General features: G+C 37.1%; 1 protein-coding gene across 8 annotated transcripts in view, besides 1 other annotated feature; it reads right to left on the bottom strand.

Moving 5' to 3' along the window:
• GLRA2 (glycine receptor alpha 2) overlaps positions 1-22,969 on the bottom strand; it is a 283,034-nt gene that overhangs the window by 151,526 nt on the left and 108,539 nt on the right. For 4 of the 8 annotated variants that reach the window (XM_047441999.1, NM_001118885.2, XM_006724487.4 and 1 more), the window contains one exon: positions 5,887-5,954. In XM_047441999.1, the coding sequence (XP_047297955.1) occupies positions 5,887-5,954 (68 nt within the window). Of the gene's footprint in view, positions 1-5,727; positions 5,796-5,886; positions 5,955-22,969 lie in introns of those variants that run through there. The other 4 variants (XM_017029427.2, NM_001118886.2, XM_047442000.1 and 1 more) reach the window with 3 other exon arrangements.
• Positions 13,096-13,698: an enhancer, noted in NCBI's record as "NANOG hESC enhancer chrX:14584711-14585313 (GRCh37/hg19 assembly coordinates)". NCBI's record gives its function as "activates a minimal SCP1, AML or CMV promoter by ChIP-STARR-seq in naive H9 embryonic stem cells {active_cell/tissue: H9 hESC(naive)}" and the evidence as "EXISTENCE:reporter gene assay evidence [ECO:0000049][PMID:30033119]".

The following is a 22,969-nucleotide window of genomic DNA, read 5'->3' as shown; positions in this document are numbered from 1 at the left end:
AAGTGTGATATATACTAATTCATTATTACTCTCTTTCCTTTACATTTTTTACCCTTACTTGCTCCATCTCCACATATTTGGCAACTGGATTTTTGGTCATTGTTTACGTTACTCTAATGGTGACTAACTTGTCCTGGTTTGCCTGAGAACTTCCCAATTTTGGCCCCAAAACTCTCACATCCAGGGAACTTCCTCAGTTTAGGCAAATTGGGATAGTTGGTCACTCTACTGGGAGTCACTCTACTCTGGAGACCATTTCAGGATGGCAAGTTTGGGTGAATTCCCCCAGGATCAAAAGGGAAAAAAATAATTAAGTTGTAAAGATTAGGGTGTATGGAAAAAAGCTTCAATACGGTTTTTGTTTTTGTTTTTCTTTTTTACCTATTTACTAAACTATACAAATTCCCATGACTTATTTTCAAATACATTCATCCTGATGATCAAGTTCATAGAGCATTTTGGAGGCAGTAGCTCTTGGGAAGAGTGCCCAAAGTAGGCCTAATCTCAAGTCTGTGCGAGCTTTAATATGGGAAAGCTAACCTTGAGTTTGAAGTTATAGGGGGCAGTTACTTTATGATAAATTGAGGCTTTACCATTGCACTGCTAATTTAGAGACCAAGGTCACCTTATATGTTTGTTTAAAAAATGTCAGACTTGGCCCAGGTGCTGTGGCTCATGCCTGTAATCCCAGCACTTTGGGAGGCTGAAGTGGGTGCATCACCTGAGGTCAGGTGTTCGAGACCAGCCTGGCCAGCATGGTGAAACACCGTCTCTACTAAAAATACAAAAATTAGCCAGGTGTGCTGGTGCATGCCTGTAGACCCAGCTACTCAGGAGGCTGAAGTGGGAGAATTGCTTGAACCCAGGAGGCGCAGGTTGCGGTGAGTGGAGATTGCACCACTGCACTCCAGCCTGGGCAACAGAGGGAGACTCCATTAAAAAAAAAAAAAAGTCAGGCTTGTAATAGATTCTTGATTCTTCCTTAAGAAGTCAAAAATAAGAAATGTAGCTACCTGCTATCCCTGATAAGTCAGCATCTTCTTATAACTTGTTTACGCAGCTATAGAATGAAAGGGGACCCACAGTCTCATTTCAGCAGTTACAGCACAACATGCATTCTAATAAGGGGCTGTCTATCTTCTTAATCTGAGTTCTTCAGGAATGTGATTTCAGATTGGAGATAAAACAACTCTTCATTCTGCAGAAGTAACCAGCAAAGCATGTGAAATGTCTGTTGTGGGGAAGGATTTGAGGGAGCTAGAATTATATTCTGGAGATGTTCTCTGAGCAGACACATTTTGTACACTTTGAGTTCACCCTCCTATCTGTTAAATAAGGAGCAGACTAGGATCCACTGCTGTAGCATGGATAGTGTTCCAGCATCCATATGTCCAAATCACACACTATCTACCTACATCCTTCCAGGCAGTCATTTGGAAGCTGGGAAGAGAGCATCTTTTCTCTATTTTCTGATGGCCCAAACTTATGGGAAAGCTATATACAGATGGTATGAAAGCACCCTTGACCCTTACTGACATTACTAAAATTCTCAAACCATGCCTTTATATCAGGAAATAGGGGTTGCAAATATACTCCCCATCCTGTAAATTCACTTGCCGTCAGAAACTAAAGAAAAGAGAAAAATAAAAGAAAACGGTAAACTCACATTTCAAAAACAGAATATAACCTATCTTATCATTTTCTCCTTATTAGTCATCTAAGTCTTTGGGACCACACAAAATTTGTTCCACTGAATACTCTTAATGCTGGGGCAACTAGCAATGAACACTAACAGATTTCTGTGTGTCTTAATGAACAAAAATGCATTTTTGAATAATATATCCATAAAAATAATGATACATAAAAATACTCCTTAGAGTAACACAAATGTGTTGTCCTGTGAGTACACATCTCTGACACTAACATATCAGAGTGAGAATTGGTATTGGGTCTGTAAGCAGGCCTCTACTTTGTGGGCAGGCAACACCTACAATAAATTAGTGGGACTTCATTAACCATAGGAAGGGCAGACTGGATAGCAACAAAGAAAGCCATCTTGACTTCTTGAAATATATAATCATTGCCTTTGATCTGGGAACAAATACCCCAAACTAAAACTTTTAATAATGCTATTTGGATAATGGGGTGAGAGTGAAGTGTAAGGGAAGAGAGGAAAGTCAACAGGTTTAGAAACTCAAAATTCTGAGGCATTCTTTGACATAATTTATTCCAGAAAATGTAGAGAAATCAAAACTATTACCCCAGAAAATAGCACCAATCAATGTCCTCAATGACCTCATCACTGTGCATAAAGCTAAGGATTCTGACTACAACTAAAGACAGTTCAGGGAAGAATCTGTTTCTGTTTAATTTTTTTGACCAATTTTTCTGAGTCAAATTTTGTGAAACTATCAGTAAATTCATGGATGGTAAAATCTTAGCGGTATGGTAAAGAAAGCTTGGGCTGTGATGACACTTTGGGTGTGCAATGGACTGAATGTTTGTGTCCTCTCAAAATTCATATGTTGAAATTCTAACCTCCAATGTGATAGTATTGGAGGGTAGAAGCGGGGCCTTTGGGTGGTGATGAGGTCGTAAGGGTAGAGCACTCATGAAGGGGATTACTGCCCCAGATAATTTTCTTTCTACCATGCGAGAATACCAGAGGAAGTCAGCAGTCTGTAACCCAAATAGAGTTCTCATCAGAACCTGACCATGCTAGTACCCTGATCTCACACTTCCAGCCTCCAGAACTGTTAGAAATAAATTTGTGTTGTTTATAAGCCAACCAATCAATCCTTTGTTATCACAGCCTGAGCTAATTAAGACTGGTGTACCAGGTGGAGTCCCAGGCAGGGCCTCAATTATCTTGGAAGATGAGGCCCTTTCTTGTTGGAGCAATTCTCACATTCTTATTATGCATCCACTTAAATATTGATGCCCTAAATCTGGGGCTGGCAACCTATGGCCTGTGGCCCAAATTTGGCCTCAGCCTGTTTTTGTAAATAAAACTTTATTGGTACACAACCACACCTATTTGCTAACTTGGGCCTTGGCCTGTTTTTGTAAGTAAAGCTTTATTGGTGCACCACCACAATTATTTGCTTACTATTGTTTATGGCTGCTTTCATGCCAAAAGGGCAGAATCACATAGTTGTGACAGAGACTATCTGGCTCTCAAAGTCTTAGGTATACTGTCTGGCCTTTTACAGAAAAAGTTTGCCAATCCCTACCCTCGGTGGCCTGAGGATTTCTTCTTTGACAAGCATGATAGAGTTCCAAAAAATATTTTCTGTAGTTTTGCACCAAAGCCAAAATTGAATAAAACAAAATATATTTTTAAAGCAAATGGAGTTTGTCATTATATCAAAGCTAAGAAGTAAAACAAAAGAAGCACAATATACATCAGTCTTCTAACCATGCAATTCAATCTGTGTTATACAGCAGAATAGACAGGCTGTGTATGTTACCCTTGAGCAACAGTTTCCAAATTTTCTGGCAGGAAGCATGACAAAGGTCACTAAATAAGTGGCCAGGAAGTACCTGAGCAGCCCATTTATTAAACTTTCAGTAGCTGTTAAAGATAGCAGAAAACAAGGATATCCATAGCTTCCATTTTAATCTCTTTAAATGTTTAGCTTTTTTTTGCATTAATGAACATCGAAAAGGTGCACATTTACATTTTTGATTGAGAATACGATGCAATGAGGAGATTTAATCAAAGCAACATGGGAATCTAATTAATGCAATCAGCATTAGGTCGTGCAAATATTGTCATTGAATGCCATCGTGTAAAGCTGGTGACAGTGATTTGGGCTACTGGAAGCTTTGCCCCCTCTCTTATTACGATAAAGCCAAGAGGGGAGAGACAGAAACTGAATGTCAACCTGGGAGTTGATATACTCTTTCTGTGTTTAGCTTTTATTATGAGTCATTTAATAGCCCTATCAAAACTATCCTATTTAGGTAAATTTTTAAATGCACCACATCCTGTCAAAGCCTCACAAGTCTCATTTCTGGGTAATAATGTTTCAGAATAATATCAAAATGGGTAATGGAGTTGAATTATGTCTAATTTTGCCAGTGGAAAAAAAGTGGTAAAGGTAAATTAATTCTTCCTAACATGAAGGACACCACAAAGAACAGTAATTTATTAAACATGATGTTAGTTGCCAAAAAGAGAAAATTCATATAAACAAGGAAACCTTTTTTTTTTTTTTTTACTTCTCAATGGCATTATGCTTATTATTTTTAGGACATCAGGCACCATAATACTTAGTCAAACTCAATTACACTTGATTTTGGTTTTATCAAATGAATGGTTGTAAACTTTACATAGTAATGCAAATTAGACCCAGCCAATTGATTTAGGACTTAAAGTAAATAATATGGGGACCAAGAAAATATCTCACCCAAAATGCAACCTCCATGCTGTAGCCGAGAACCCTGTGGGGGTAAGACTAATGATCCAATAGGCTATGTCACAGGTAACATGACCATGACATTTATGAAGAGTGTTGGTAGAAGCCTGGGTGTAGTAGTTAATGCCTTTAATGCTGGTGCTTTGGGAGGCTGAGGCAGGAGGATTGCTCGAGGCCAGGAATTTGAGACCAGCCTGGGCAATATAGTGAGATCCTGTCTCCACAATTTTTTTTTAATTAACCAGATGTGGTGGTGTGCACCTGTAGTCCTAGCTACTTGGGAGGCTGAGGCAGGAATATCGTTTGAGCCCAGGAGTTTGAAGTTTCAGTGTGCCATGATCTGCACTCCAACCTGGGCAGAAGAGTGAGATCCTGTGGTGGCTCACGCCTGTAATCCCAGCACTTTGGTAGGCCGAGGCAGGTGGATCACCTGAGGTCAAGAGTTCAAGACCAGCCTGGCCAAGATAGTGAAACCCTGTCTCTACAAAAATACAAAAGTTAGCTGGGCATGGTGGCGTGCACCTGTAATCCCAGCTACTCAGGAGGCTGAGGTGGAAGAATCGCTTGAACCTGGGAGCCAGAGGTTGCAGTAAGCCGAGATCGTGCCACTGCACTCCAGCCCGGGTGACAGAGAGAGACTCCATCTCAAAAAAAAAAAAAAAATGCACTGGTAGATTTTATAGTATCTGAAATCTTTTTCAGATATATGAAACATGTTTACTCATACTGTATAATGAGCTTCTAATTAGCTTTAAGTTTAGGGGTTTTTTTTTTTGGAAAAGGCATTCATATGGTATAATTGTTATGGACTTGGGACTACTTTCTCTTGTCAACAAAATTGTGTGTGTGTGTGTATTTTTCTAATTTCAGCCCTTTGGAATATATCTTGAATGTGGCATCGAAGGGAGGCTCAACTATCTTAAAAATTCCATTACATGTAAAAAACTGGCTATACTGTTACATCTCTCAAACTTTGAAATTTGTACTTCTGAAGCATTGGAGATGCACCTATTTAAATATCCATAACTATGCATCATGTTTATTGTGGATAATTCTACAGAAAACCATTAAAACATCAAATGTTTTAAAAATTTCTCTGGCACGATAGATATAAGATCACTGAATATTAAGTAATGAACACTTGACAAATGACTTTACAAAATAAAGTAGTATAAATTATTGCTTTTCAGAGGCGAGCAAAGTTGGAAATTGGCACTCAGTAAATGTCTCACAAATATGCCACAGTGCACTTCAATCCCACATCCCATTCCTTCACACGATGGCTTCAATGCTCAGTCCCACTCACCATTGTAGTTTCTGCTATTGACCCAAAGCTGTTGATAAATATGTTGCAGGTAACATTTACAGGAGGCCCTGCAAGTTGAACAATAGAAAATTTGACAGTTTGTGTTCACAGCATAATTGAGTTGTGTCTTTCTCTTGCCAGTGGCATTGCAGCACTTACCATGGTCGTTTCTGTGACTGATCCAAAACTGTTGATAAAAATATTGCAAGTAACGTTTACTGGAGGACCTGCAGAATGCAATGAGAATATTGCAATAGACATTGAAGCAAAAATACAGCTCCATTAACATCTGTGCAATTGGCTAGAGATTTGAATACAATTAAAATGATGGTGAGATTGCCAAAAAAAAAGTTTTACCCTGAGGTGCATAATGATAACATTCCCACTTGTATTTTGGATAATGGCTGTTAAGCAATGGCAACTTACCCTGAAGAGTTTTGGATTTGGAAAATATAAGCTGAAAACTATTGAACTGGATTCACTGTCATAAGTTTCTATTAAAATAGCCTTTTGGGTGGTGGCTTTTTTATTTTTGACCTTAGGATCATCAACATTGTAGACATCAACAGCGGTTCCCTCGTAGTGATGAAATAGCCTGGTCATGAGGTCAAAATGGAGCTGCATTTTGAGTTATGGATGAGTCAGAAACACCCACCTCCTTTTGTATGACATTCTTTAAATCAGCAGGTTACTTTGATTTTCTTGACACCTCTGAATTTACCCCACTCCTTCTTTATATCCTCTGACCACCAATGAGAAATGATGTACAGAAATATAACAAACAAAATTAACTTAAGACATAAACACATACAGTAATGTCAATTTACGTCCATATTGTTACCTTAGTAAATATGGTGTAAAGCAAGGATTATTGCATCCTAGATGTGCTTTGGACACAATAAGAGTCCATTGTTATCTCCAGAGATCCAGTGACTAGCCTGACTGCAGTTCTCTTTTTCTCTTACCTTTTGTCAGTAGGTAAATCACTGTCTGATGATTCTCTGCTTCACATTTTGCTGGGGAAGATATTTATTGCCTTTGTGGAATTTTCTCCTAATGCTTTCTGAGCTAATATTGCCATGAACTATCTATTTACTTGCTGCCTTCTCCTGTAGAAATGTGTATGTCTTCATGCAACAAAGGATCAGCAGCCCAGTGCAAGAAACACCCTAGTTGGCTCAGTACCCAACAAATCTGTAGGATCTGAAAGAAGAGGAATTTGGCTTGAGGCCTCCCTCGAAGGCAGTGAAAACACAAGTTATGGCAGCACTTAAACACTGCATTTTTAAACCTCTTCAGAAGTCCGTGTGGGGTTCTAGAAATGAGGAAATTTGGGGCACAATGGCTAATTTAACTCCCCAGGCAAAATCTTTTGGTAAAAGAAGGAGCAAGGAGTTGTGGTAAAAGAGATGTGTTGTTATTCTTTGAAACATAACTAATTTTTCTATTTTTAATGAAACAGTAATTGTGATTGTTTTTCATGTGTTTGCTCATATCTGTGTAATCTTCTGCAGTGGGGATGTGAAAAGAAATGTACTGAGTTCTGTGACCCTTGAAAAACACCTTATACCCCTCAGAACTCTCTTTTCCTAATGAAAGTACAAGTGTGTTCTTATGCACACTTTTGTATAACAGGATTTATATTTAAAATAGTTTGGATACTTATTACTAATGAATTTTGATAGATGCAAACCAGGACTATCAATGTGTTTTTCTCTTCTTTCACCTCTTTAACTCATTCATTTGAGAGGGCCCCTTGTAGCCCTCCTTAAGTCTACCTTTTGAAATGTGATTGTGATTTTAAAAAATATATTTGTAGGCACAGAATAACAGGCACCACCATATTACCAAAACAATTTTCAGTAGACATCTTTGAAATGCTCCAACTATTTTTAATTTGTCCCGGCCCCTCTTATGTCAGCATCTGCCATGATGAATTCTTCTCCATGGTCACTTTCTACTCTGCTGGATTTTGTTTTTCTTTTTTGATTACTCAAAACAAAGCAAAATAGATACTTTCTCTTTCTTGGCTATAGAATTCTATTTTGTAACAAAGATTTTTCTGCTAATGAGAAATAAATTAGACAAGGCAGAGGCAAGTCACAAGAAATTATATATGTTTGCTTTTTCCCTTTCTCTCCACAATGAAATATTTCCTTCGAGATCATCCAGTTCAAGGTGGAAAACTTTCCTGAATTCTTATATGCAAGATAGATAGAAAAATGAATGATGGGAAAAATAAACAGGAAAAAGAGAAATGTCATTTAAAAGCATAAATTTGAAAATTTAAACATTGGTTGTCTTGTACATTTTCTGCTTCTCTAGCCTACCCAACTGGCTTGGAAGCATTTAGAAAGCTGGGTCATACCATTATATATTCGTTTTTATCTTTCCTGATAAGTGGCATTATGAGTATGTTGCTGGAAGTCAAAATAATTTTTAAGTTACCATATATTGCTGCACTGTGCTAAGTGCATGTAAAAATTATCTAGTGTAATCCTCACAAAAGACGAATCTGTTTATTGCTCTAGTAAATGTTTACAGATGAGAAAACATGGTGTTAGAGAGGTTAAATTGCTTGAAGTCCCATCACAGTAATTAGAAAAGCTGAGAGTCAGTGTCTCATCATTCTGATTCCAAAAACCTAAACTTTCAACCTTTTTGTTGCACTTCCCTCATTTCATAATATCCTGTTGCCCTCCTGGCCTGCTAACCATGGTATTTTACATTGGTTTGTACCTTTCTTAATCCTTTACATCTGACTTTTTCAATTTTGGGCACTTTTTTTTGGTTCAAGGTTCATTTGCATTTCTATATAAAACCTTAGAAAGAAAAAAAGTTTTTTGATGAGGGATTAGCACACGCATATACTAAGAACTGACATATATTTGAACCTTGCTGTGTGCCAGTGAATGTATTATTTCATTCTTCAATAATTATCATCACCTCCATTTCTCAGATAAGAAAAATTGAGGCATAAAGATCATTAATTTTCTCAAGGTCGCAGAGTTTATAAGAGGCAGAAATTGCCTAACTTTAAGGATATTTTTCTTAACTGCAGGGGTAAAATGCCTGAGGCCAATACAATTATCCTAGTGATATAAGCTACCTAAATATGGAAGTTGACCTGCAAGTTCTTTGGGTTGAATTGTAGATAACTGTTTTTTTCCCCACTTTTAGGAGTTATCCTAGCATGTGTCAGCACAACCTTTCATCTGCATTTAGCACAATAGTCTGCTCAGGTGTTCTGATTGACAGGGACATGTTCTTAGATGTGATCACCAGTGAATGAATGTGCTCTGTAAACTACAGAAGGAAATATTTTACACTAGTTAACCCCATCTAATTGATTTATCAGCAAAGTGATGATATTCAAAAATGAGTTGAATGAGAATCTGACTGTTGAAAAGAATTATGTAAACATCTAGTTTTTCATGGCACTATCATTCCTATCCTTCGTTCCTTCCTTGTCTCCTATTTCCCTTCTTCCCTCTTCTTCCTGCTCCCCCCTTCCCTTTCTCTCTTGCTCTCATTTTTCCTTTTTCTCTTATTCTTATGAGAAAGAGTGGCCTGGCCATAATTCAAGTATGCAATCCAAATATAAATGGAAGTAAGATATAGATCTGGCATACTTTAAATGTATTTGAAAAAATAATTCCACCTCATCTGCCCCCAGCACCAAGTATGACAATCCCCATCCCATATTGATCTTCTTTGTTGCTATATATCACTTTCTCAGAGTATCTTCTTTGGAATAAGGTATTTGTCTTAGAAACCCATGTAAAATTATAACTATGCTACATTGGAGACATAATAAATTATTGATTATTATCCATTAACATCTTTGCTTTCAGATCAGTTGATCAAATTGGCTATGGTAGGGAACAGGATCATGAAGAATAGTGCTATTCTTCATATATAGTACTATTATATCCCCTGCTACTCAAACTGTGGGCTGAGGACCAGCAGCATCAGCATCACCTAGGAGTTTGTTGGAAATGCCAAATCTCAGGCCCCATCTGAGCCCTGCTGAAGCAGTCTGCACTTTAACAAGGGGGACTTGTTACTGCAGACCATCTTTCTCCCTTTCAAAATTATGATCACTTGTACTTTGTTTCTATCTTTCATAAATGTCCTTGGAAATGTTAACTGTAGTCCATTTTTAAAACTTCCAAGGTCAAACAAGTTTGGAAAGCACTGTTGAATAGTTATGTAGTTTCTTTAATGTAGATTTTCCCAAAGCATTTTATTGTTTTTAAATCGTGGTGTTTTATATACATATGTGTGTGTATTATGTATTATAACACATGTTATTTGTTTTATATAAATATATATTTAAACTATATTCAGTGGCATTAACTGCATTCACAATATTGTGCAACCATTACCAGTCTGTTTCCAAAACTTTTCAATCACACCAAATAACAACTCTGTAACCATTAAGAGATAACTTTTCCTTTCCCCTCCCTGCCACTTCTGGTAACCTCTAATCTACTTTATGTCCCTATGAATTTCTCTATTTAGGATATTTAATGTAAGTGGAACCGTATAATATTTGTCCTTTGTGACTGATTTCTTTTATAGCATAATATTTTCAAGGTTCATCCATGTTGTAGCATGTATCAGAATTTCTTTCCTTTTCATGGTGGAAAAATATTCCATTGTATGTATGTATAAAACATTATTCATCTGTTAATGAACACTTCAGATTGTTCTCATCTTTTTGACTATTATGAATAATGCTGCAATGAATATTTACACACAAGTAGGTTTGAGTCCCTGCTTTTAATTCTTTTGGATATATACTAAGAAGTGGAATTGCTGGGTCATAAGATAATTTCACGTTTAGCATTTTGAAGAACTGCCAAACTGTTTACCATAGCATCTGCACCATTTTGTCACAAGCAATGTGTGAGAGTTCCAATTTCTCCACATCTGTGTCAACACTTATTTTCCATTTTTAAAATTATTGCCATCTTAGGAGGTGTGAAATGGTATATCATTGTGGTTTTGATTTACATTCCCCTAATGAGTAATGACATTGAGCATCTTTTCATGTACTTACTGGCTATTTGTATATTTTCTTTGGATAAATATCTCTTCAAGCCCTTTACCCATTTTTGAATTGGGTATTTTGTCATTTTATTGAATTGTAGTTCTTTACATGTTCTGGATATTAAACCCTCCTCAGACATGATTTACAAATATTTTCTTTATTGTTTTTTCACTTTCTTCATAATGTCCTTTGATGCATAAAAGTTTTTAGGGTTGTGGCTTTTTTTGTTTGTTTGTTTTTTTCTTTTTTGAGATGGGGTCTTACTCTTTCACCCAAGCTGGAGTGCAGTGGCACAGTCTTGGCTCACTGCAACCTCTGCCTCCCAGGTTCAAGTGATTCTCCTACCTCAGCCTCCTGAGTAGCTGGGATTACAGGCACCCACCATCATGCCTGGCTAATTTTTGTATTTTTAGTAGGGGCAGGGTTTTACCATGTTGGCCAGGCTGGTCTGAAACTCCTGACCTCAAGGGATCTGCCTGCCTCAGCCTCCCAAAGTGCTGGGATTACAGGCATGAGCCACCACACTTGGCCTTTAGTTTTGATAAAGTTTAATTTACCTATTTTTTCTTTTGTTTCTTATGCTTTGGTTTCATATCCAAGGATCAATTGCCAAATCCAAGGTAATGAACGTTTACCCCTATATTTTAAAAAGCAGCTTTTTGGTTTTAACGCTTACATTTAGGTAATTGATTCATTTTGAGATAATTTTTGTATATGGTATGAGAGAGGTCCAACTTCATTGTTTTGCATGTGGAAATTCAGTTGTGCCAGCACTATTTCTTTTTTTTCTTTTCTTTTTTTTTTTTTTTTTGAGACAGAGTCTTGCTCTGTTGGCCAGGCTGGAGTGCAGTGGCACAATCTCGGCTCACTGCAACCTCCGCCTCCCAGGCACAAGCAATTATCTTCCCTCAGCCCCCCGAGTAGCTGGGATTACAGGCATGTGCCACCACGCCCGGCTAATTTTTGTATTTTTAGTAAAGATGGGGTTTCACCATGTTGGTCAGGTTGGTCTCGAACTCCTGACTTCAGGTAATCTGCCCAACTCGGCCTCCCAAAGTGCTGGGATTACAGGCATGAGCCACCATGCCCGGCTGAGTCCCAGCACTATTTCTTGAGGAGACTGGTTTTTCCTCATTAAATGGACTTGCCAACCCTGTCAAAATCAACTGGCCATAGGTGTGTGGGTTTATTTCTGAACTATCAATTTTATTCTATTGGTCAACATATTTATCCTTATGCCAGTATGACACTGTTTTGATAATGTGGTTTTGTATTAAGTTTTGAAGTTAGGAATTGTGAGTCCTTCCGCTTTGTTCTTCATTTTCAAGGTTATTTTGACTATTCAGGGCCCCTTGCAATTTAATATGAAGTTGAGGATTGAGTTTTCCACTTCTGCCAAAAAAGGCTGTTGGAATTTTGATAGGGATTGCATTGAATCTGTAGATAACTTTGGGTAGTATTGACACCTTAAATATATTGTCTTCCTACTCATGACTTAATAAGGGATGTTTTTCCATTTATTTAGGTCTTCTTTGATTTTTTCAGCAATGTTTTGTAGTTTTCAGTGTACAAAACTTTCACATGTTTGGTTAACTTATTTTTAGGTATTTTATTCTTTTACATACTATTATAAATGGAGGTGCTTTTTTTCTAACTTTCTTGTCAAATTGTTTATTGCAGGTGTACAGAAACAACTGATTTTTGTGTGTTCATTTTGTATGCTACAACTTCACTGAATTTATTAGCTCTAGTAATTTTCTTTTGGATTCTTTGGGGTTTTCTATACGTAGGACTGTGTCATTTGTGAGTAAAGATATACTTCCTCCTTTCAAGTTTGGATGCCTTTCATTTATTTTTCTTGTCTAATTGCTCTGGATAAAACTTCCAATACAATGCCAAATAGCAGTGGTGAAGGCAGGTATTGTCTTATTTCTGATCTTCTTAGAAGGAAAAGCTTTCAATCTTTCACCCTTCAGTATGCCTGTTGTAGATGGCCTATAGTTGGATCATGTTGTTAATTGTGAGTTTTAATAAATTCCCTTTATCATATTGAGGAAGTGTTCTTCTATTTCTAGTTTTCTGAGTGTTTTTAAAAATCATTAAAGGATGTTGGAATTTTGCCAAATGCCTTTTCTGCATCAGTTGAGGTGATCGTGTGTTTTTCTCCTTCATTCTATTAATGTGGTATATTACTTTAATTTGTTTCCTTATATTGAACCATCTTTGCATTTCTGGAATAAATCTCAATTGGTCATGATGTGTAATCCTTTTACTGTGCTGTTGGATATGGTTTGCTAATATTTTGTCAAGGATTTTTAAATACATCTTCATAAGGGTGTTTTGAATGAAACTCTATCAACCTAGCTGTTAACTACTGTCCCCCAGCAGCTAAGAGACTTGGACAAAAGAGCACCAGCAGAGGCAATCCACATCTGTACGCTTTGGGGCTGCCTCACTGTCAGGGGTCAGATTGCAAGAACAGCTTTAATGACGCAACCACAACGTGAAAGTTTAAGAGTTTTTACTACTTATGTACCCTGGAGGGTACACAGCATGCCCAGAGACTGCACACATGTAGAGGTCAGGGTGCACAGGCAGAGAGAGAGAGAAGGGACCCATGGGCCAATGCTTTTATTCAGTCTAGGGTGTTATCTAAACAGGCTTCCCACTGGGGGGCTTTAATTGGTGGTTTTAAAGTGAGCAGGCAATCGTTTCAAGTGGTCATTTTGTAACTGAGAGGTGATCACTTTAAGTTTGCAGGCAAATGTCTGAATGGTCTCTTTAAAGGACGTAGCAGGAAAGCAGGGAGTCCTCCCTGCTAGGCAGGAGAGATGCCTCTAAGTTTTACCTCTGGCTACCATTCAGGTGGGAAGAAGAATATGAGACTATGTCAAGGGTGACTGAGCCCTGTTTCTGGCATGAGAGAGTTAAACTTACATATAAAATGGATGCCAAGACAACATACAATTACAAGCACTCACTACAAAGGGATATTGGTCTGTGATTTTCTTTTCTTGTGGCGATTTTATCTGACTTTGGTATTAGAGTAATGCTGGACTCATAGAATGAGTTAACAAGTGTTTCCTCCTTGCCTACTTCTTAGAAGAGTTTGAAGATTCATGTTAATTTTTCTTTAAAATGTGTGCTAGAATTCACCAGTGAAGCCATCTGGTCTTGAACTTTTCTTTGTTGTGAGGTTTCTGATTGCTGATTCAATCTCTTTACTTGTTATATGTTTGTTGAGATTTTTAATTTCATCTTCAATCAGTGTAGGTAAATTGTGTGTTTTTACTTATTTGTTCATTTCATCTAGGTTATCTAAATTATTCGTAATCTTCTCTTAAAGTTCTTTTTATTTCTGTAAGGTCAATAGCAATGACTCCATTTTCATTTCTGATTTTGGTTGAGTCCTCTTTTTTTCTTCGTCAGTCTAGGTAAATGTTTATCAATTTGGCTGATATTTGAAAGAACAAACTTCTGGTTTCGTTTATTCTGCAACTCTTTTTCTATTCTCTGTCTTCCTCCCCTCTAATCTTTATTATTTACTTTCTCTGATAACTTTGGGTTTAGTTTGCTCTTCTTATTCTAGTTCTTCAAGGTGTAAATTTATGTTGATTTGAGATTGTTCTTCTTTTAAGTGTAGGCATTTATATTATACATTTTCCTCTAAGCACTGCCTTCACTGTATCCCATAAGTTTTGGTACGTTGTGTTTTTGTTTTCATTCACCTCTTATGTCCCTTGTGATTTCTTCTTTGATTTATTAAGACGGTATTATTTCCAAATATTTCTGAATTTTCCAGTTTTTCTTCTGTTATTGATTTTAGCTTCATTCCACTATAGTGGGAAAAGATACATTTTATTATTTTAATACTTTAAAACTTACTGAGGCTTGTTTAGTGGCCTGAAAACAATTATATTATATATTGATAAAATGGTCAACTCATTAAGATATAATAATTCTAAACACATATGCACCAAACAGAGCTCCAAAATATATAAAGCAGATATTGACCAAAATGATGAGAGAAATAAACATTTCTACAGTAATAGTTGGAGACTTCAACATACCATTTTTAATAATAAATAGAACATCTTTAGAGATCTCTCTCCATATATAATGTCATTCTTTGTCTCTTTTAACAATTTTTGACTTAAAATCTATTTTGTCTAACATTAGTATACCACCTCAGCTTTCTTTTGGTTACTATTTCATGGAATATCTTTTTCAATTCTTCTGCTGTTAGCCTACTTGTGACTTTGAAACTAAAGTGAGTCTCTTGTAGATAGCATATAGTTGAATCATGGTTTGTTTTATCCATTCTGCCAGTATATGTCTTTTGATTAGGGTGTTTAATCCATTTACATTTAAAGTAATTACTGATAAGCAAGGACTTACTTCTATCATTTTGTTTTTTGAATATCTCATAGCTTTTTATGTCCTACATTTCCTCTATTATGACCTCTTTTATGTTTAGTTGATTTTTTTTGTAGTGAACCATTTGGATTTTCTTTCATTTCCTCTATTATGACCTCTTTTATGTTTAGTTGATTTTTTTTGTAGTGAACCATTTGGATTTTCTTTTCATTTCCTTTTGTGTTAACTTTTCACATATTTTCTTTGTGATTACCATGGGAATTACATTTAACAACCTAGATTTATAACAACCTAGTCAGAAATGATACCAACTTAACTTCAATAACATATGATAGCTCCACTCTTATACAACACCATTCTCTCTGATACCAACTTAACTTCAATAACATACGATAGCTCCACTCTTATACAACACCATTCTCTCTCCTTTATGTTTTTGTTGTTGCAGATTATATCTTTTTATTGAATGCACAATAAAATCAACTAATAATTTTTTATGCATTTGTCTTTCCAAGTCCTGTAGGACATAAAAGTGCAGTTATAAACTCCAAATACAATAATAGTGTTTTTACATTTGCCCATACATTTACCTTTACTGGAGATCTTTATTTATTCATAAGACTTCTACTTACTGTTTAGCATCCTTTTATTTCAGCTTGAAGGACTCCCTTTATCATTTCTCGTAGGCCAAGTGGTAATGAACTCCCTCAGCTTTTGCTGGTCTAGTAATGTCTTAATTTCTCCCTCATTTGTTGAGGACAGTTTTGCTGGATATAAACTTTCAGTTACAGTTTTTTTTTTTCTCTCAGCACTTTAAATATATCATCCCATTGTCTTCTGGCCCTTATGGTTTCCACTGAGAAACCAGTTGATAGTCTTACTAGGGATCCCATGTATGTAATGAGTTGTTTTTCTCTTGCTGTTATTACAGTGTCCTCATTGTTTTTGGCTTTCGACAGTTTGATTATAATATGTCTCAGTGTGGATCTCTTTGGGTTTACCCTACTTGGAACTTATTGTGCTTCTTGGATTTGTAGATTTACATATTTCATAAAATGTGGGAACTGTTATTTCTCAAAATTTTTTTATTCATATATTCTTTCCACTCTTTATTCTTCTGGAACTTCTAGAATGTGTATATTGGTCTATTTGATGGGTTCCCATTGGTATCCTAGGCTCTGTTTACTTTCACTTATTCTTTTTTCTTTCTGCTCCTCAGAATTGACAATTTCAGTTTTCCTATCTTCATTAACTGATTCTTTCTTCTGCCTGCTCAAACCTACTGTTAAACTACCCTAGTGAATTTTCAATTTCTGTTTTACCTTTCAGATACAGAATTTTTTTTACAATTTATATTTCTTTATTGATATTCTCATTTTATTCCTACATAATATTCCTGATTTCCTTTCATTCTTTGTCTTTGTTTTCCTTTAGATCTTTGAGCATATTTAAGACAGTTGTTTTAAAGTCCTTGTTTAGTAAGCCCAGTGTCTGAACTTCCTCAGGGATAATTTCTATCAATTTATTTTGTTCCTTTGAATTGGCCAATACTTTCTTGTTACTTTTTATGCATTGTGATTTTTGTTGAAAACTGTATATTTATCATACTGTAGTAACTGAAAATTATCTACCTTCTCTAGAATTTGCTGAATGTTTTGACTGTTGAAGGGTATAGTAGGCCATTTGCTTAGTGACTTTCCAAAACTATTTCTGCGAAGACTGTAATATTCCTTCTCATGTGTGGTCACTATAGTCTTTGTTTCTCAGCCTGTGTTCAACTAGAATTTTATGAGAGATTTTCTTGAGTATCTGGGGCCAAAATACAAAGCAACCAATCAACCAACCAACCAACCAAGCAAACAAAACATAACTCTCCCAGTCTTTGCAGATTGGCTCTATGCCAGAGCCCTTCAACAACTAGCTGGGCTTGAACTGAATCTAGGGATCAGCCCAAGGTGAAAGCTAAGGGTTTGCTCGGGTCTTTTCTGAGCACACATATTTCCCTGAAAATGCAGTGGCTTTCTAAATTTGCCATATGCATGGTCGATTTTGAATGTCCTAATTTCCCTAAGAAACTCTAAGTTTCACTTCCAAGCTTTTAGATGGTCTATTGTATATTTCAATTGTAATATTTTGCCCTTTAAGATTTTTAGTTTGACTTGCAGTATTTTTTTAATTAATACTCACTGCCTTTCCATCCTGAGTTAGGTAAAAACAGAGATGAGCATTGTCATAGGCTGAATTGTGTCCCCCCCACATTCATATGCCTTAACCCTCAGTACCTCAAAATGTAACCATATTTGGAGATAAGGTCTATAAAGGGTTAGTTAAGTTTAAGTGAGGGTTGGCCCCTAATCTGATATGACTGGTGTCCTTATGAGAAAAGGAGAAAAGAGACACCAGGGATGTGTTTACACAGAGGAACGACCATGTGAAAATGCAGTGAGAAGGCAGATATCTACAAGCCAGGGAGAGAAGTCTCAAAAGAAAGCAAACCTGTCAACATCTGGATTTTGGACTTCTGGCCTTCAGAACTGTGAGAAAGTACATTTCTGTTGTTTAAACCACTCAGTCTGTGGTATTTTGTTATGGTAGCCCTAGAAAACAAATATAAACTCCTTGCATTTGTCCTTCTGGTAGCCTATAGAAAGGTTAGAACAGACACACAAAATAATTTGTGAATAAGGTTTGGTCTACTCCTTCCAGATCAAGGGACCAGGGCCCCATACTAGGAGTGTAGGCTGCTACCAATTTTAAACCAAAACTACTGCCATACTAGGGAGGGAATGGGACAAGGGCAAGTGGGAATACCACAAAACTTTCCTACCATTTCGAAGTTACCTTTTTCTTGATTTTGTGGACATTTGGTTGCTGTAAACTTTTGACTGTTTTCCAGAGTTCTGACAAAATTGGTTCTGACAGTTTCTACTCTTTTTGAGAGCTTGAGCTGTCTACTGTGCCGTTTTGTTGATGTCACCCTCCCTTTCTCCAAAACTTTAATACACCTATGTGAACTATGGTGTTCCTGAAAATAAATAGTGTGTGTCATTATTTCCCAAACTTATTTGACTATAGATTTTTTTGTTTTTTAGATAGACCATCCTTTTCGTGGAACACATTTCAAAGATAGCAAGCATTCTGCAAAACATAGCTTTGAAAATGCTGATCCACATTTTTTCATTTATTAATTCAATTAAAACATTCTTATTGAACAATATATATGTTAGATGATAACAATAGAACTATTCAAAGGACTAAAGGCAATCAAAGGGCTATTATAAAACTCTGTGCTCCTGCCAAGGAAGAAATGTTCTATTTGGGCTGCAGAGTAGGTACCTAGGATAGAGAGGCAATAGAAGAGGAAAATCAGTAAAGTCAGCTTAACTTTTCCCAGTTATCTATAAGTTTAAGACTAAATTTATGATTCTCTAGTCTGCAGATATAACTTATGGATGTGATTGAAAAGCTCTATTTGTAACTGGATTTGACAAAGTTATTAATTCCTGGCTGAGCTGTCTTAAAAACTCAGTGCCCTAGTCAACATCATTTTTTTAAGGGGCCAGATATTAAATAGTTTAGCCTTTGTGGGCCACAAGGCCTCTGTCATAACTACTCAATTCTGCTTTTGTAGTGAAAATAGCTGTAGACAATATGTAAATAAATGAGTGTGGCTGTGTTCCAGTAAAACTTTATTTACAAAACAGGTGGTAGGCCAGATTCGGTCTGTAAGCCAACTTTGCCTGGCCCTGCTCCTAATCAGACTAGGAGGCTAGAGAACAACAGGAATTATTATAAATTCCATGGTCTTTCCATAGATGAAATGAGGACTGACCATGGACATGGAAGAGCATAGGGACTGCCTGTAGGACTATCTACAATGAGTTTGATATTGTGCTCTGTAGCATGAACAAAGTCATAGCAGAAAGAATGGATGGGAAATGATGGCCTCGGAGCCAGATGCACTGGAGTGGGCTCAGGTGAAAAACCATCAAGCCTGAATCAGAACACTATTTATCACAAGCGTTAGGAGGTAGTATGGAAGTGAAACAGGGCTAAGCCAGATAATATGGACAACAAATACTTAATATATACGACTCAGTTATTATAATGACTTACATCGCTCATAAACATACATGAGACTTCTGTATTTTGCATATTCAAAACCTAGATAACAAAAATGTTTTCTATTATTCATAATGACTATATTTTAAAACACTTGTTAATGTTATGTGTGTGTATGTATATATATATATGTTTGTATTTACCACAGATTTCTAAGTTCACAATAAATGTTACTATTATTCTTTTTTTTTTTTTTTTTTTTTTTTTGAGACAGGGTCTCTCTCTGTCCCCCAGGCTAGAGTGCAGTGGCACTATCACAGCTCACTGCAGCCTTGCTCTTTTACCTCAGGCTCCCAAGTAGCTAGGACCACAGGTATGCACCACCACGCCCAGCTAATTTTTAAATTTGTATTGTTTGTAGAGACGGGGGTCTCACCGTGTTGCCCAGGCTGGTCTTGAACTCCTGGGCTCAAGCAGTCCTCCCACCTCAGCCTCCTGAAGTGCTGGGATTATAGGCATGAACCACCACACCTGGCCAAATATTATTTTTTGAAAAGCATTGTGATGGATTCTATTTAAAAATAAACATTGGGAAATAATAGGGTATCCTGTGTAACACCAAGACAATTAGTCACTATTTGTTAGTTCTCCTTAGTTATTTCCCAGCGTCCTTTTAAGGTAAAAGCCTACTTGAGAACAGAGGGAAATCTTTGAGTTCCAAGATGGAAATGATATTATTTTTCTCTCTTGTCACAAATAGAAAAAAGTGGCATTTTCACTTTGCAATTTCACATAAATAACTTAATGTGTCTTCAAGTACCACAATTGTTTTAATGTGTGGCCCTTGGATGGGAATAGAATATGAAATATATGGGCTTGACATATACAGAAATTAAATTTCCTTTAGAATAAAAAGATTTTGTCTAGCATAAAGATTCTTGCCATTAGCTCAATAGACAAAGGGGGAAAATAAAGCACACAGAAGAAGCAGGAAGATGTAGAGTTAAGGGTCAGAGCCTTGATATCTGAACATGAGTAAGCACTGTTTCTTATTATGGCTTCCTGCGTTGCATGGTGCTTTGATGCCCATGAAAGAGAGAGCCTTGGAGGATAGGAGGATCACAAGGGAGAGGGAATGACTTTTCTTCATGGCACTCCCTTTATGAGAGAGAATTTAAGTCATTTAATCTGAAAGAATAGAGAAATTTTTTAAATGTCATGATTGTAATTAGAAATGGCCCCACAATCGAGGCGGAGGTTGCTGTGAGTCGAGATCGTGCCATTGCAATCCAGCCTGGGCAACAAGAGTGAAACTCCATCTCAAACAAAAACAAACAAACAAAAAAAGCTGGGTGCGGTGGCTCATGTCTATAATCCCAGCACTTTGGGAGGCCAAGGTGGGTGGATCACCTGAGGACAGGAGTTTGAGACCAGCCTGGTCAACATGGCAAAACTCCGTCTCTACTAAAAAAATACAAACATTAGCCAGGCGTGGTGGCGGGCGCCTGTAGTCCCAGCTACTCGGGAGGCTGAGGCAGGAGAATCGCTTGAACCCAGTGGGGTGGAGGTTGCAGCCACTGCACTCCAGCCTGGTGACAGAGCAAGACTCCATCTCAAAAAAAAAAAAAAAAAAAAAAAAAAAAAAGAAATGGCCCCACAATCTAACCCACTGCCACTGTGCTGTTTTAATCTCCTTGAAAATTCACCGTAAATTATGTATCGATTCTTCTGCTCAACTCATACGCAAATGGTTTTACCAGTCTTACTGCATTCAGCTTGTTTGCTGACATTCCAGGTTTGTGCAAAGGGTAAAACATTCAGAGAAGTAAACATGCTGGATGTTTACAGATTCCCACAGCCTGATGAGACAGCTTTGGACTCATCAAAAACCATTTGCTTTGGACAAGCCATGTTGATAGAAATTAGAAAATTGCCATACAGATGGGTTGTGGTGGCTCACGCCTGTAATCCCAGCACTTTGAGAGGCAGAGGTGGGCAGATCACCTGAAGTCAGGAGTTCGAGACCAGCCTGGTCAACATGGCGAAACCCCGTCTCTACTAAAAATACAAAAATTAGCCTGGCATGGTGGTGGGCACCTGTAATCCCAGCTACTTGGGAAGCTGAGGCAGGAGAATCACTTGAGCTTGGGAGGTGGAGTTTGCAGTGAGCTGAGATCATGCCACTGCACTCCAACCTGGACAACAGAGTGAGACTCTGTCTCAGAAAAAAAAAAAAAAATTCTAGACAAAGCAATTAATTAACACCTAAGGTAGCTTAAATATCAAGAACCAAATAGCATCTTCTGTGAGTCCTTCCCACAAATGGCCACCAGTTGTCAACTGCTCCCACACAAGGATAAGTAAATGGACAAATAAACACATGGCTCAGATACATGTCAAAGGGCTTTGAGAATGCCAGCAAGTTTCTATATTTGCCTGATGTGGATTTCTCCAGTTTAAAGAGAAAAGAGAGAATCCATCATCTCATAAAGAGTGATCACTTTTAAGAGAAAGTGAGTGCTATTAATAATTATACAGGAAAATCAGGCAGAAACCAGGGCAGTCCTGAGAAAACCTGGAATTTGGGTCATACTACTTAAAGATATATTTGAAGTATGGTGGCTACTAGTCTGTTTTATCTTTAACACTAACTCTGATTATTACCACCTGTCAACTTTAAACAGCTGCCAAAAATTCTCTGAGCCTGTTAATTCTGCAGAATAGAAATAATGATGCTTACTTTGATGATAATTGTGATAATTAGTAATAATGTATGGAAGGCATGTAATGGTTCCTTAATAGATCGTAGTTACTGTTATTTATAGTAATGGTAGTAGTATTACTATCATTATTGTGCGTTCATTGGATTGTAAAAATATGCCTGTGTAGGAAATACATTGTCAAACCCATTTTAATATAAACTGAAATCTTGGAGACTACAACTTAGATCTTCCAATATCCTCTATGCCAATCTTTACTGAAATAATGCCCATCTTATCCTATTTCCATTCTCTTTTCTCTGTAAACTTTGTTTTGTTTTGTTTTTTCTTCTTAGCTTTACAGGACTTCTTGGCAGGACCCAACCACCTTTTATACCTTTCTTGTTTCTGGGAATTATGCATAAACATTCTTCATGTCTGGAAAACCCATGTAGCCATCATGAATTTGAGATTATTGCAGCCAGCTTCTTTTTTTAAAATAGGCTTTCTCTACCTTGGGACTATTGGCATTTTGGACTAAATCATTCTCTTTTGTTAGGAGTTGTTCTGTGCGTTGCAGGGTGTGTAGCAGCATCCCCCTCCTCTACCCACTAGATGCCAGTAGCACCACTTCTCCCACACCCCCTGTTGTGACAATCAGAAATGTGTCTAAACATTGCCAAATGTCCTCTGTGAGACAAAATCTCCCCAGTTGATAACCACTAAATTATAAAAAGAAGGTAAAATTGCAGGATGAGTAGGAAGTTTATTTAACAAAGATCACATTTTATGTAATAATGAAATGAGCTTCAGTTTACTCTTCTGCTTCACCAAACAAATGCTAGTATCATATTAAAATATTTCTTGGTCATATGGCTTTCTTATGAAAAAGTCTCACATGTTTCAGCAAAGAGTGTGGATTTTAAAAAATATTTAGAAATACTTTAGGTGGGCCGGGCACAGTGGCTTATGCCTGTAATCCCAGCACTTTGGGAGGCCGAGGCGGGCGGATCACGAGGTCAGGAGATCAAGACCACCCTGGCTAACA

Source organism: Homo sapiens, chromosome X, assembly GCF_000001405.40.
Source record: "Homo sapiens chromosome X, GRCh38.p14 Primary Assembly".
NCBI lineage: Eukaryota > Metazoa > Chordata > Mammalia > Primates > Hominidae > Homo > Homo sapiens.
Note: the sequence above shows the minus strand (reverse complement) of the source record. Positions and strands in the feature narration are given on the sequence as shown.